At 37.0% G+C, this 16,764-nt stretch overlaps 1 long non-coding RNA gene across 1 annotated transcript in view; it reads left to right on the top strand.

Annotated features, from left to right (window-relative positions):
• Positions 1-2,301, top strand: part of LOC107986637 (uncharacterized) — a 30,488-nt gene extending 28,187 nt beyond the window's left edge. The window contains exon 4 of the long non-coding RNA XR_001744312.2: positions 2,098-2,301. This is a non-coding gene — a long non-coding RNA (uncharacterized LOC107986637). The remainder of the gene's footprint in view (positions 1-2,097) is intronic.
• Positions 2,302-16,764: the final 14,463 nt, after the last annotated feature.

Here is a 16,764-nt window from a genome sequence, read left to right as displayed (position 1 = left end):
CTTCCTCTAGACTAAATTCTCCTTATAGATTCCAGACTCTTCATAGAGAATGTAATCCTGGGTTGCCTCTAGGCTCTCTTCCTGGGGAAGTGACCATCTGGAGGATTTTTGGAAGGCAATTCCCTAGGCACTCAAAGTTTCATTTATGCATTAGTCCAGATCACTGAAAACATGGTACCACTTGGAACACATTATCTTGGCCTTATTTAGAAGTATTTTTCTTCAGGCTCTAATGGCAGCCCTCAGTTCTTATCAAAGGATACTATTAAAACCACCAGCCCTCTGCCTGTGTTTCCAGGTGTCATCAACTACTTAGGCCAGAATATCCGATGCAAAATCTTACCTGATAAATTTCTTACAGAATTTGCACTACAAAAGACAATCTTGCTTGAAGTGATTTGTTTCTTTTTCTCTAATGATAAGAATACTTGTGGATGGTGAGGATGGGGTTGGATGTCTCCAGGGGCAGGCAATATGTCTTTCTACTAAAATTATCACAGGGTCGTCAGCATTCCCAAGTTGATCAGACTCAGGGAGGCTGACTCACTCTTATCAAGCTCCTCAGAGTCTGACTCGTAAGCTGGAATGCCAATGTCCTCCATCTGGGGTCTGCTTTTCCTGCCGTATTTAGATTTGCTGAGGAAACATAAGAAGCAGAGCCAAGAGGGATGAATAATTTAAAGAGAAATTTCTTATAGAACCTAGGACCTAGTACATTATTCCAGCCAGAAACATGCATTTCTTTTTCATTCAAAAACAAATTTTTCTTTTTCTTCCCAGGACAGTGCTGGATAAAACTGCCAGCTTCAATGGCATATATATATATATATATAACATATATATGTATTATTTCTGTCACAACTGACAGATCACACTGTTATGGATTTTACCAATTTAAAACTCAGGAAGCAAAATTCTTTCAAGATTGGAGGGTTGGACAGTACACATCAGTATTTTCCTTATCATAAAAAAGGTGATGTAACATTTCATCTCTTTTTGCTTCCGCTGCCAAAAAAAAAAAACAAAAACAAAATACAACGAGAATGCTGCAAGGAATTAAAATTTGACCATTAAACTACATAGACATTTAGAGCTCCCATATTTGTGAAATTTATCCCAATGTGGCCTTAAATATCTATTCTTAGATATATTTCTAGGACTATAATTTTATTTAGCCTTTTACCTTTTTTGTTATAATTGTTCAGTCTTCTCAAATCCTCTCTGGACAGAGGTGAGGCAAAGAATCCAAGATTCAGACAAACAAGCAAACAAACCAGACATTTTCCCAACCCCTCTCTTTCATATATAGGAGTTTTTAATGGTCTGTTGGGTAAAAACAGAAGTACCCACTTATTCAAGTTTTCTGCTGGTCAAGTGAGAGATACCATAAATCTTATAGTAAAATATAATTTAAATTTGAAGAACATTATTAGAAGCCAAACTCTATTTTCTAGAATGCTTAGTAAATGGAGTAGTATGGTTAACTAAATATTTTAACTGAGTTGTCACTAATATTAGGTATAAATCATATATATTACATGTAACATGCATAATGTATATAATATATAATATATGTAGAGGTGTGTGTGTGTGTGTGTGTGTAGTATAAATAGATCTTAGGCTGAGATCTACACAGATTTTGCAGTTGTTCCAGATAATCATTGGTGAGAGCTGGGAGAAAACTAATCCTTTGGACATTTACATTCTGGTTTCAATTCTAAATAATTAGAGGTTTAAAATATTAAGCAGAGATGCATGTGATATGCTATGTTCTGTGTAAATTAAATAAAATAGTATGTGACCTACATATATATATAAATTCTTATTCTCCTTGTTTTGTTGCCAATTTGAAATAAAGAAGGATACATTTTTTATGGCCCATGCATATAAACGTTAACTTCCTCTTGCTGCTTCCATTTTTCTAAGAGTCTTAAGTCTCTGTTTCTAGAAGCTTCTTGAAGAAAGCATTAGGAATAGATAATTCATTACATCCTTTTCCAAGTATCAATCTGTGAAACAGGGAAGAGCTGATGACCTAATACTATTAACAAAAACAAAACACCACATGTTTGATCCCATTTTGTTTTCCTATCACAGGAAACTGGGGAGGGAATCATGTTCCAGCAGTGAAGAACAAAGGCAGTTTTTTGGGGATTTACATACGCCATCTCCTACAAAGTTAAAAAATTTTCTTTTCCTGAAAGACTACAATCAAGATACAAACATGTACAATGGGTGAAGTGGATTAACAAGTTTGTGTCATGTTAATTATATATTTCAATAAAGATAATTTTGGAACTAGTTTTATGGATGTAAATATAAATTACAAGTTAACTAAATTATATTGAGGATGCAAATAACTTTGGAAATAATTATAGGTGTAATCAGCCATTTGAAAATAAAATGAATACAATTAAACATGAATGACAAAACATGATGGCAAAAGGTCTCCATCTTGATGCTCTTTTCTTAATCCATTCGGACCACTGAGGACCCACGAACACTGGTCCAGTAACTGCAGATAACGCTGGACTCACTCTCCTGGAAAAATCATTCTATAATTTGACAGCTTCGATTAATGAAACAATAATATCAATGAAAAATATTACATTTATTTCTTTTCTCATGGTTAGGAGTAGTCAATATAGTAATTTAGAGGATTTTTCAGGGCTGATGACTGTCCTTAGAAGCTTAGGACCCATCCATGCCCTTTGTGTTTTCCCTGGTGGCAAAATGCATACTTTTACCTGTGACCAACAAGGGCTGCCTGTTGGAAAAAAGGAGTGGTAGAATGGTGAAGACGCTGGTAGGAGAGGGTTATGTGTGGGCAGCATGGCCAACAATTGTCCATTTCTAAAATCAGATGGGCATGGATTCGCATTCCAACTCTGCCACTTACAAGTTGTGCAATTTTGACCAGGCTTAAAAAAATGCTATCTCTATTCCTCCAAACTTTAGATTTTTTAGATAGCAGAAGGGAGAATTATTTCTTCCCCCTGAATCACTGACCAACAACACTAACACTGATTCAGAATGTAGAATATACTCGGTGTTTATCTGCTGCAGAAAAACTCCCCTGGTATGCTAGCTCCTTTACTGAAACTATTCAGGAAAGTATCACTAAGCAAAGGAAGTTAAGAAATCATTACCATACTGTCATCATCAATGCATTCAGGATTTGATCTGCATTTGGTAAGGCATCTGTCTTTCCAGATTTAACACAAGCCACCCTAGCAGTGGAAAAAAATAGAAAACACCTGGATAACCAAAAAGGCCTAGGCAATCCTTTGTAATTCTTCAGACAGGGCCATCTGTATATTATTTTGCATACCCATAATAATATAATGAATAATTAGCATTGATTAAAAAAGTACGAGGAATCTTTTTGGAGCAATGCCTATAGAGGGATTGTGGAGTTTCCCCAGACTGATAGTTTGTGATCTTCACCACTTCTGAGGAAGCCAGAGTTCACGAAGTGCTCCCACTATGCGCCACATTGACCCAGGAATTGAGCTGTGACAAAAAGTAAATTTTCTTCTAAAGAAAAAAAGAGTTGAAGGATAAAAATATTTTTTCTTCCAATTCATAACTTTGAGCACTTACTATGTTCAAAGCACTATGTTAGACCACCTGGGAAGTATGGCATTGTCTAAGACTCAATCTTTTTTCTCCAGGAACTTAACTAGTGAATGTGAAGGGGCCCAAAAGTAACTTTAATTCCCGGTAGAATGAGGGTAAGCAGTAGAGGTTGGTTAGAAGTTCAAAGGTGGGGCCAGGAGGTGCCCTGTTAGAGTAAGAGCACAGGGAACCTTGAGGAAGTAAGTGGCATTTGAGCCAGACCTTGATAGATTATAAAATTTTGAGAGAGGAGTGGAAGAGGAAAGAAAAAGTAAGGACTTTCTTAGATGAAAGCAACAGTGTAAAAAAGGTAAGTTTTGCTCCCTTGAGGGGATATTGCCTCCATGGGAATGCATGAGGTCAGAGACAGATGAGAGTGCAGAGAAGTCAGAGAGTTAAGAGTAATCAAGATAGATGCAGGTGACTTTCCCTTAGGCTCTCACCATTTCCGGGCAAGCAATCCCTACAATTTCCAAATGTAAGCTCTGAGATTCTGTGCCTGAGGCTTTCTGTAGTTGCCAGAATCTCTGCAGCCCATTGCAGGGAAGGCTAGAAAGGTGGAAGAGTTAATGACTCTTGGAGACAGACCTAGGATAAAAATACTCTTGTTCCCTTCCCCATAGTTTGAATAATTTCAAGAAGTGTTTAGCACTGTATTCTAAGCAATAATGAGCCCTAATTACCCTTGAGGTACCCAACTTGACAACACATTTTTTTATTGGCTTTCTTCCCATCACCGTATCATCTCCATTCCCTTATTGACACTTCCTGAAATCATCTCCCAAATAAACTATTTGCACTCCCATCCCTGTCTCAGCGTCTGCTTCTGGAGGAATGCCTACTTGCGAATGTTTCATGCTTCAATTTTTTTTTTCTCCATTTGATGTATAATGGAGATCTTACTCTGAATCAGATGTTCTAGAATGATTTTTCTGCCCAGGGGAAAGAAAATGTCCTAAGGGACATTTGGAAATTTCTGGAAACATTTTTATTTGTCACAACCAGGGGAGACAAGGTACTACCTGCATTTAGTGGGTAGAGAGCAGGAATGCTGCTAAACATACTCCAATGAACAGGATAATTTCACACAACAAAGAATTATGCGACCCAAAATGTCAACAGTGCCAAGGTTGAGAAACCTTTCTTTAGATTTATCCAGTTTAGATGACAAATTTGCAATCTTGAAATCTTTATACTTTTCACTAGTCCTAAAATGCGGCAAACTACAAAGCTGTTCATTAAGAAGTATATAATGATGGATCAATAAGGTACAAATAGATAAAAAGATATAATCCCTAAGTTTCTACTTTATCAGAAAACAGCAATGTCTTGTCACTAGAGAGCAAATATTTGACACATTTGCCTATTATTTGACAGGAATCCTGTACAGTCATGTTCATTGAGAGGTGATCTATTACATCTTGTTTCCATCATTGGCAAAGATACTCTATTTTCTTATCTTCTTTAATTTCCTTTATAGTGTGTTTGAGCCTTGAGTAACTGTTAAGATAAAGCAATCCAAAATTATTAAGTCCTTGGTGAGCATTTATCTTACAAGTAAATTTGCAGAAAGGTGCCTTTTCTAGTTTTGAACCCGATGAAGAGCTAGATAATGTTGGAATCAGATTTTTTAAAAAATGGATTAACATTATCCACCTCAAAAATCACAACAAACAGCAGGTTGCAAGCATATTAAGAGCATTCTTACTGAAAAGAATAAAGATTTATTGCCAACTGTGAAGGGGCAGATTTGATGACTGATAGAAAAATCACACTGCTTTGTCAGCTCACATAAATAATCATTCATCAAAGAAATGTGTTGATGAGTTCAGTCTGGTTTGAATTTAAATCATAGTGAATTCTTTGGAAACAGCTGAAGTACCTGAGCATCATTAAAAATCTTCAGCACCCTATCTAAGCATACAGACAATCCTTCTTAAGTTATATAATGAATCTTATCAAAAACAGCAAGAATATTCATGCTCAGAGATGAATAAAGGCTGACTATACTTACCTTGAGAAAAACACATCTGGATGCTCATGAAAGTCTGATAAGTACTTCAGAAATTTGATCTGAGTTCACTTTTGCAATAGATGCTCAACAAAGTGGATAAGGGGGTCAGATGAGTGTTTACCAGACACAAAAATAACAACGGGTGGCTGATCAACTTTCTCTGATAATTATTGTTCAGTGAGAAAAGATAAAATGTGATATTTTCTCCGGTAAGCATTACACCATTGGGCCACCCGAATCCAAAGACTCTCTGTGCTACCGATGAATTGATGGATTCTGACAAGCCAGTGTGTGTATCTGGCAGCCAGGTGTCTTGGTGTGGGTGAGACAGGAGCTAACAGAGTTGATACATGGGAATATTACTCCCAGATGTTCTCCAAAGGGAAAGGACAACTTTCTTTCAACAAGGACAACCTGCCCTTTCAAGATGAGTCCTATGGCATATGTGCAGCGGTTAGTTAGCTCTCTGAGAAGCAGCAAAGCATCATGGGTGCCATTTTTGCCAGAAAAACAAATAAGCATATCTAATGGGTTCTGTCCTATCCCTTAGTAAAAACCAGTGGCCTGTGTCTGGAGGTCATTCAAGGCAAATGAAAGAAAGAAATTTTCTGATGTTGGGGAGATAAAGAAGAAAGAACACAGTGAAGATGCATGGTGTTGATTTTAAACTGAAGAGAAACCTAACCAAGCTAAGCCTGTCACAGTCAGTTACAGCCCTTGCTATAAATGCCTCTATGGGAAAAATACAACCAACAGTTAATGTCCCTCATGCCAGTGCTCTAATATCCATAGCCTGTCAGGTCTCAAGCTCTTTCATTTCTAATGGAAACAAGTATTAGTCTGACAATATTTTCATTTATATTTAAGAAACTTTGGTTTTCAATATGAGTTGCATTAAGAAAGTTTTCTCAAGTTGTCAATTCCACAAATTTCTTAGCATTCTTTAGGTCTTCTGAATTCAGTAATGCAATGTTTGTCGTCATAATTGATTTTACGTTTCTAGATTACACATCCTGAAAATGACACACACAATATGCCGAACTGCACTCACAAAATCTAAATCCATGGGTAATGGAACAATTTAGGGAAAACACAACAGATACTGAATAGACATAGTTTATTCTATATATATTTCAAGGGAATAAACCTAAGCTGTGATTCTATGGTCCCCTAGTACTCTATCCTGTAGACAGTATCTAATAGATAAGTTTGATTTATCTCTTTTTATGAACAAAATTTGTTTTATTCATTCTATTAAATAAAATTATCATTGCTTAGCTGTCAAAAAATAAATAAATTGACATGTTTTTATTTTCCATTATTGTTTTTAGCCTTCCATCTTCTCCAAAGCAGAAGAAAGATATAACTTTCTTCTATGAAAAACAGTTTCTATTGCAGGTTCTGGCTAAGATAGTCTGAGAGAATCCTGACAGTATTTCAGTTACTTCAAACTCATCATTTCAGGTTACATAAATCTACCTTTCTATAAAATTTTTGATTCTATAACTTTAAAAAATTAGGTTCAACTCCTGGGATTTAAAAACCTGTAACCAATTTAACCCAGGCAGTATTACTTTTGCATTGTTATGTATTAAAATTTTTGTTAACTTATAAAAATATCCAAAAGCATTTATAATTTTCTTTCAGGGATGAAATATGATAGATTAACTTTGCCCATATCAATCCTATTTATTTTTACATATGTATATTATATATATATATATATATATCTTAATTTTACACTGAAGCTTGTGTCAGTTTTAAATGTACCGTCTTTCAGCTCCAAATACGTGCTTTCCTGTTCTGCTTTATGAAAATGGAACTGGACCCTGTAAACTGTTCTCCTTTGCCAGTGGGCATGACATTTGGCTTCGTCAATAGAAGACTGGTTCTGGTTTCCTATTTTTTAAATCAACTTCCGCCGCATTTTCAGGTCAGGTTTTCCCCAATCACGGGCAGCTTCTGAGAAGCTCTAGGGTCTGTGGCAGCTTTGGTTGAGCCCTTAGACTGCACCCTCTTTGAAGAGATCTGAATCTCAGTCTTGGGGAAACCCTTTCCTAAGTCTCTGGTCTCTTTATTATGTACTTTCCTTAAGCCTGGAGGTAGTAGCTGATTTTTTTGCAGCTGCATATTCTTGGCTGCTTAGAGTTCTCTTTGAGTCTTTTTAAATTGTTAACCACATTTTACTAGTCAAATTTAATTTTTTTTTTTTTTTTTTTTTTTTTGCGACAGGATCTCACTCTGTCACCCAGGCTAGAGTGCAGTGACACGAACACAACTCACTGCAGCCTCGACCTCCTGGACTCTCTGAGGGGAAACCCTTGCTTCTACATTTTTAATTTTAAAAAATGCCCTTTGAAATTTTAAACAGTGATCCATATTTATTAAATGCTTCTAACCGATGATGAAGAAGAGACAGACATTAAGAACCTCATTCTTAAAAAGAAGCTTTTTTTGGGAGAAAAAGACTTACAGACAAGTAAATTTTATTATTAAAGTATTTTATATATATATATATATATATATATATATATATATATATATATATATATATAAAGCAAAACAAGGCAAACTTGAGGAGTGCCAAGTAGTTCAGCACTGCTCTAATCTACAAGATGTATGTGTGTGTGTGTGTGTGTTGTGGGATGGTAATGTAGGGAGGGGAGGTGGCAGCCTTGAGAACAGTGCAAAATGAGCCTGGAGGGGTAGGCTAGCTGCAGACCAGAAAGGACTTTGCATGTCATGCTAAAAAAATTTGGATTTCATTTCACAGCAACTACAAAGCCCAAAAATGCAAGGGAAATTAACATATACAAGAAAGTTAAAAGTCATTTGTTTTATGCACCTTCACTATGTGGAATCCACTATTGAAGGATTTAAATAAATTCAAATATTCAGACTTGGTCTGAAGTTAAAAGAGGGGAGATGATCATATATGAAATATTTAAGTATTAGGAAGTAACAAGAAGCACTAAATTGAATGGCAAAGACTAAAATGGGCACTGGGGTCTGAAGGTGGGAGAGGTTAGAGTAATTAGGGAGAGGGTAGAACTTGGGCATGGTTCTAGAGCACTGGAGGGACTGCATTTTAGGAAAAGATCAGAATGAGCAGCCTTTTAAACCAGGGGAAGCATGACCACAGAATGGCTTGGCAGCAGGAGGGAGCCTGAGCTGAAAGGGGATGTTGAGAGAAAAGGTTAAGATTGTAAGACAGAGCTTCTGGAAAGACAAACCTATGGCACTGTGTCTCTACCTCCCCCTTCCACAACCATACCACCTCTATATTCCTGCTGAGCCAAGAGGCAGCTCCAGTTCTCTCTCAATCCATTGCTCAAGGAGTCATTTCAAATCAGGAGTTTATTCTCTAGGATACCATTATAAATTTTTGACTTGTGAATTGTTGATAATACAGATTTTTCTGATCGTATAGTTGTAGATGACTGATAGAAGGGAGGATCCCCAATGTGGAAGCCAGAAAATGTTGAAATGTCCTTTTATATGTAAGTTGCATTTCAGGTGTTGAGAGGTTACATGTTTCAGCTGTTAGTTTGGAAAACATAAGGCATATTTGCATTAAATTTATATTCATTTTATCTCCAAAAGAAGCAATGCCATAACACACCAAATGTCATAAATCAGAATGTCATACTGAAAAAGGACTGTTTCACATTTCTATTTCTCCCTTAGGATATGACTGACCTCAGACACAGGAATTCAGAAATCTCACTGCCTGCCTCTTTGCCATTAGGAAAACAGATACTGGCTCCCCAAACCCATGATGAAGAAAGAAGCTGGAAGAACTCTCAGAAGAGTTTTCAAGACCATGAGTGCCCTTGCCAAAACCCAATGGAAAAGTCTCTAGAGAAACAGAGGTCATAGAAGTTTAAAGGTTTGGTTACTTTTTAAAGTTTTTACTACCTTCCCAGTAAATATTGCCTTCATTCTTCATTCTCACTAGCAAACTGTCATTTAGCACCCAATAATTCTCTTATTAAAGCCTAGAGAGAGAAATATTATTTTCAAGGATGGGTAAATTTAACTGCCTTGCTCTCTCCCACAACTTTGCAGAGTAGTTCAGGGTACAAAGTTCTTCTCATTTTTCCCCCTGAATATATTCCTCTTTTATTGTACAACATAAAACCTTAACTACCAAGAATCAAATGTACCATAAGAGAAAAATACCTCATGGCAAAGTAATTGCACAGTGGAAACAACCTTAGACATAAGCTCTAGGCTTGGCTCTATGAAGGTGTAACTAATTCTTCGACTCTCAGAAAGCTTTTTAACCTCTTTGTTTTCTCTTTAATTAGTAAATGTGGATAAAAGGCTTTATATATATAAACAACAACAACAACAACAAATATATATATATATATATATATATATATATATATATATAATCAAGGTGAAATGAGATGATAGATATTGAAAGTGATTTTCAAACATGTTTCTTATAGGAACATAAGAAATTCTTCTCCGTTATTCTAATTTACAGTTTTCCTTATGTACCCTTACGATCAAGAAATCTAGATGATGGTGTCGGAAAATATTTCCCTAATGTAAAGACATAGATGCACAGTGGTATTTTCAGTGGACTGTACATTTTAATTGCATGTACAGTGATATACTAGCCAGAAGACCAGTGATTTTCTGTATGGCTGCATCTTCATCTTCACTCATTCATTTAACAAATATTTATTGAATGCCTACTATGTGCCAGGCATTGTTTTACGTACTGAAGATACTGCGTAACGAGATGATGCGTCTTCTTTCCTGTAGCTTATATTCTAATTAGAAAAGACATAAACAAGTAAATAAGCAGTATGCCAGGTAATATTAAGTGTAATGAAGAAAAATAAAGCAGGAAATGAGAATATTAAGCAGGAGTCAGGCCACATCTGGCCTGCTGCCTGGTTTTGTAAATAAAGCTTTATTGGAACATAGCCTCAGCCATTCATTTACACTTTTTTCATTAGCTGCTTTAAGTTAAATAGTTGAAACACAGACCGTCTGGTCCACAAAGCCTAATATATTTACTCTCTGGCCCTTTACAAACAAATTTGAGGTTCCTGATGTTGGCCATCGAAGGGTGTTTCAAGGACTTTAACTTTTATGCTGAGTGAAATGTAATGACGATGATGGGAGTAACTTACTCTAACTTATGTTTTAGAAGCATTATCCTGGTGGCTGTGATGAGAATGGACTCAGGAGCAAGAGTGGAAGCTCAGGACAGTTTTGAATGTGGCCCAACACAAATTCATAAACTTTCTTAAAATATGAGATTTTTTTTGTGTTTTTTTTCTTTTTTTTTTTTTTTTAGCTCATCAGCTATTGTTAATGTTAGTGTATTTTATGTGTGGCCTAAGGCAAATCTTTTTCTTCCAATGTGGCCCAGGGAATCCAAAAGATTGGACACTTCTGATTTAGATAGTGATTACAGTGATGCAGAGGAGAGAGATCATCATAGAGTAGTAAGGATGAAAATGAGGTGATAACAATAAGGATTAGTTCCCTGGATATACTTTTGAAGTTAATGCAGTGAAGGATTATGGCTTAAAGAGCTAGAAGTTTGGAATTTCCATCAATTGAAATGGGGTGGCCACTAGAGAAGCATGTTTGGGGTTGGAAATTAGCAGTTTGGTTTGTACGTAGAAGGTTTGAGACATCATGTGGCCATTGAACTAGACATGCCAACAAGGCAGGGGACTATATGAGCTCAGAATTCAGGGGTGGGGTCTAGGCTGGAGATAAAAATTTCATAGTTACCAACATACAGGTGAGGTTTAATGCCATTAGATAGAACAAAATAATCAAGAGAACTTTTTTTTTTTTTTTTTTTTTTGCTCTATCGCATCTGTCAGTTACTGCTCAGGTGGCTTCTTTATTTGCTGGACTGTTTTTGCTAGATAGAGTTTTAGGTTGCAGGGCATATGCTTTTTGCATATTTCTTGATAGCATTTTGATTCATTGTCCTGATCCTACTTTTAGCTTGAAGTAATTAGGAAATGGGGAATTTTGTTAGTTAAAAATGATATCCTGGGCCTAGTTTTGAAAAGCAAAAATCCTGTAAAATGTGTGTCTGCTTCTAGAAGTCAGACCCATTTTACCCAGGCACATTTTTCTTGGAATGGGTAAAGAAAAGAGAATAAATTACATTTATTAAATACCTACTATGTGCCAGTGATTTTACAAACAATAGTTCATTCCAGGGCTCTGTTTTTGAATTTGCAAAATTGGGAGGGAGTTACTCTAGTATTTCTATTATTTTTTTACTTCCAGATGGAAATTCAATAAGGACAGTTTCTGTCTCTTGCTATATCAACATCTCTTATATCAGAGGAAAATTGAAAATAAAATTCCAAATTAGTGCAAACACATTCCTGACTTTCATGAGTTCACTTTTAGGTCACTTCTAAATCAGTGTTCTATTTATTGGAACAGGTTGGTTCATTACACTGATTGGTGTTCTCTTTCCAAGGCTCAATAAAATTCCATGAAGCATCAACCTGAAGAATAACAGCCATGCAAAAAAAGCTCATCATCACTGGTCATTAGAGAAATGCAAATTAAAACCACAATGAGATACCATCTTATGACAGAATGGTGATTATTAAAAAGTCAGGAAACAACAGATGCTGGTGAAGCTGTGGAGAAATAACAACACTTTTACACTGCCATTGTGGAAGACAGTGTGGCGATTCCTCAAGGATCTAGAACCAGAAATACCATTTGACTCAGCAATCCCATTACTGGGTATATACCCAAAGGATTATAAATCATTCTACTATAAAGACACATGCACATGTATGTTTATTGCAGCACAATTTACAATAGCAAAGACTTGGAATCAACCCAAATGCCCATCAATGATAGACTGGATAAATAAAATGTGGCACATATAAATCATGGAATACCATGCAGCCATAAAAAAGAATGAGTTCATGTCCTTTGCAGGGACATGGTTGAGGGTGGAAACCATCATTCTCAGCAAACTAGCACAGGAACAGAAAACCAAACACTGCATGTTCTCATTCATAAGTGGGAGTAGAACAGTGAGAACACATGGACACAGGGAGGGGAACGTCACACACTGGGGCCTGTTGGTGGGTTGAGGGCAAGGGGAGGGAGAGCATTAGGACAAATACCTAATGTATGTGGGGCTTGAAACCTAGATGATGGGTTGATAGATACAGCAAACCACCATGGCACATGTATCAAATAAGCACATGTACCTATGTAACAAACCTGCACATTCTGCACATGTATCCCAGAACTTAAAGTAAAATAAAATAAAATAAAATAAAAAACAACAACAACGAAAAAAAAATGGACAGAACCCCACCCCCCCCCAAAAAAAGGAAATAGGCATATTTGTAGCCATGGACTATGCAAGAATGGAGAACACAGTGTAAATTGTTCAGCTCTCTTGATTAAAGTGCACATATATTACACATAGCTGGGAATGCAAAGAAATGCAGTCTGCTTGTGGATCATCAATCTGGAATCTCTCCTCATTACCTAGAGCCAGGTTTCTCAATCATAGCACTATTGGCACTCTGGGCCAGAAATTTTTTTTTTGCTTTAGGGGGCTATGTAGGCTGTTTATTTAGCAGCGTCTTTGGTCTCTAACCCTAAGTGCCACAAGCAAACCCCTCTCATCTAGTTGTGACAAGCAAAAATATCTCCAGAGATTGCCAAATGCTTTCTGGGTGTGGGGGTTGGGGGTGGGGAGAGTTGATAACCTAGAATTTAAGTTCTATTTCTTTTAGTCTAGCATTGAAAGTCCTCTATGGTTTGGCCGGCGTGGCGGCTCACGCCTGTAATCCCAGCACTTTGGGAGGCCTAGGCGGGAGGATCACGAGGTCAGGAGATCGAGAACATCCTGGCTAACACGGTGAAACCCCGTCTGTACTAAAAATACAAAAAAATTAACTGGGCGTGGTGGCAGGCGTCTGCAGTCCCAGTTACTGGGGAGGCTGAGGCAAGAGAATGGCGTGAACCCGGGAGGCGGAGGTTGCAGTGAGCCGAGATCGAGCCGCTGCACTCCAGCCTGGGTGACAGAGCGAGACTCAGTCTCAAAAAAAAAAATATGTTTTAATAAACAAAATAAAAAAGCATAGGTTTTATAGCATGGCCAAGATGGATTCTAGTCTTAGTTGTACCACTTGCATCAGCACTGTCCAATAGAAATATGAGATATATGTGCAAATTTAATAGTTTCTGGTAGCCACATTAAACAAGTAAAAATAAAAGGTGAATTTAATTTGATTAACATATATGATTTAGCCTATTACATCCAAAATGTTATCATTTCCATATGTAATCACCATGAAAATGATAAAAGAAGTATTGTACATTCTTTTAATCTATATCAAGCCTTACAATCTCTTGTATATTTTAATCTTACAACATCTCAGCACACAGTAGGCATATTTCAATGCTCAGTGTGCTAGTGGCTGCCGACTTGCACAGCATGACTTTACATCTATTTTTCCATCTCATGGATGCTGTTGTGTTTAAACTGCTTTATCATCAAAACCAAACCCAGCCTTCTCCTCATACACCTACTTCTCCTACCTCCCCATCTGGACTAAGGCTAGCAGCGTCCATTTGAGCCCGAGTCCCCTGCAGCATCTTGGCTTTGTTCCCATCTTGGGTTTTGTTCACACACCCACATCCAAAAGATCTCCAACTTCTGTCAGTTTTGACACATGTTTTCTCAAAAGACTGCTTTTCGATAATCCCATGGTTACCACCTCACTTCAGATTCCAAAGGACTTCCTACCCCACTTCCCTCACCGCAGCCTCTTGCCCGTCCACCCATTCTCCTCACTGCTGTCCATGCAACACAGGAGCACAGACCTGACTGTGCCATTCCTCAAACCTCCCACAGATTTCAGGAATCAAATCTAACCCCTGGCCCTGTGTTCAGAGAAGCAACCAAGTGTGTGCAATCATTTTTCCAGCCTTCTCCTTCCAGTTTCCCCATGCACACCTTGTTTCCAGTGTTGCAGGCCACTCTCTGTCTCCTAAGGACTCTGTACTTTCTTCACTTTTCCTTGGGGCTTTGTCCCTCTGTCTGGGAAGTTCTTTACCCTCTTTTCCCCTCTTTGCTTGTTGAGCTCTTACTTTACTTTTATGACAAATGGAAACTCCTCTGAGAGGCTCTACAGGCTTGGTCTTCCTCTCTCCCTTCCACATCCTTTGTGCCCGTGTGTGTGTGTGTGTTGAAGAACATTGGTATTCAACTTCTGATGCACTAGGAAATTCATCTTCTGATCCTTTCTATGCCCCCTTCTGCTCTGTTAATACTAGCAAAACAAATTATTTCTTTTCTTTAATGAATCAGTTTAGAGAAGAATTGTTCACTTATTCAGCAGACTAGTGTCCTTTAAAAATAAAAGGGCCCCCTAATCGCCTTAGTACGTGTCACCAACACAAAAGTGTGTCAATTTCTTTTTGAGAAGAGCAGATTGTACTAAAAATACATATATATGCATATTTGTTTTCAATAGGTTATAAACCTCATCAGAGCAGATTTTATGTTTTATTCGTCTTTGTGACCCAGGATTCAGAACCCAGAAGTCGGACTAGAGTATAATAGGAACTCCGCAAATGTATCTTTTGAGTCGACATCACTATTTCTGACCTGTGAGATTCAAAATGAGTCATGGTCTATTGGGTTTACTCTTCATCCTTGAATCCAAAACACATCCTCCACTCTCAGAGTCAGGAGCCCAGACACACTCACATGCTGTAACATCTACACAAGGACAGGCACAAGGACAGGCGCAGATACACAGATGCAGGTGCACAGGCATAGAGGGGGGTAACTTGGTAAAAACTAAACCCACCTTGAGCAATCTTTTCATAACTCTGGCTAGAAAGAAACTATTAAGCTCTCCAATACCCAGTTTTAGAGAATATTGTAAACTACAGTTTTAATCAAATTTTTAGAAAAGAGTTATTAATAAATTGAAATATTGACTTTTTGGAATTTTAACTTTTCCAGTTTCCCAGGTTCAAAGTTTGGTGCTGACCAATGCACAGTAAAATAACCAAGTCAACTAGGAGAAGAAGAAAAGGGGGTCACTGAAAAATATCACATATATTTATAAAATTTAGTTATTTCTGTACCCATTTGTACTATTTAATTATAGTTAATGATATTTTTAGAAATTGGGCTTGGGATCTGGCAGTATCCGGTAGTATATTTTAAAAAAGAAATAGGATTAGGTAACCTGCAACTTGCTTCCATGTAGTTTGGTGATGGAACATGTTGATGATATTTAGTTGGGTACATCCAGCGAGAGTGAAAACAAAACACAAAGGTAAAATTGTCATCTGAAAAGGGTATTTTCATTCTTTGAAAACATTCCTATGGGTAAGGCTAAAATGAATGCACTGGAGGTTTTCTTTAAATAGAAATTCTTCATAATATTTGAGAAGCTGGTGCAGTAGATGTCAATGTGCAACCCTCATGATTTTATGTTATTTTTGAGGTTTAAAATTAGCCCTTTATTAAAATATGAAAAAGGGTATAATATTCAATTAATAGTGATTTTTTCCACACGGCATAAATTCACATTTTTGTAAAATTTAGAAATATATGTTAAATTTCAATCTCTTTGCTTGAAATTAGTAAAAGTCAGGAATGAATGTATAAAAGATGTTTTCAGTTTGGGTCCTGAATTCTCTTTTGCCATTAGCATTTTCAAGGCTTTTTTTGTTTGTTTGTTTGTTTTTTGTACACATCTACAACCCAGACGTAACATCTCACTTGACCCAAATTCAGGACCCAGTTCTTTCAGAAGAGCCAGGGAAGGTTGTTTCTTATCTGCACATCGATGTAAGCACTGCTTCATGTAAATGGTAATTACTTCTGTGTGGCACCAATTCCAGATAATTCTAGTTACTTGCTTTTGACTGGAGAACAAAGATACAAAAACACACAAAGGCACAATCTAGGTGGGGTTACTTGGTTCAAGGACTTTTTAAAAAATCAGGCCCAAAGGGGTATTGTTATTTGGTTCCTTGGTTTGTTTGTTTTACCTCTAGACATTGTGAAGTCAAAAAAAGATTGGGAGAAATGGAGGATGGTACTAACATTACTGAATTCACGTCACGTAAAG

This window comes from Homo sapiens, chromosome 6, assembly GCF_000001405.40.
Source record: "Homo sapiens chromosome 6, GRCh38.p14 Primary Assembly".
Classification (NCBI taxonomy): domain Eukaryota; kingdom Metazoa; phylum Chordata; class Mammalia; order Primates; family Hominidae; genus Homo; species Homo sapiens.
The sequence above is the reverse complement of the archived record's forward strand: the minus strand, read 5'-3'. Positions and strand labels throughout refer to the sequence as shown.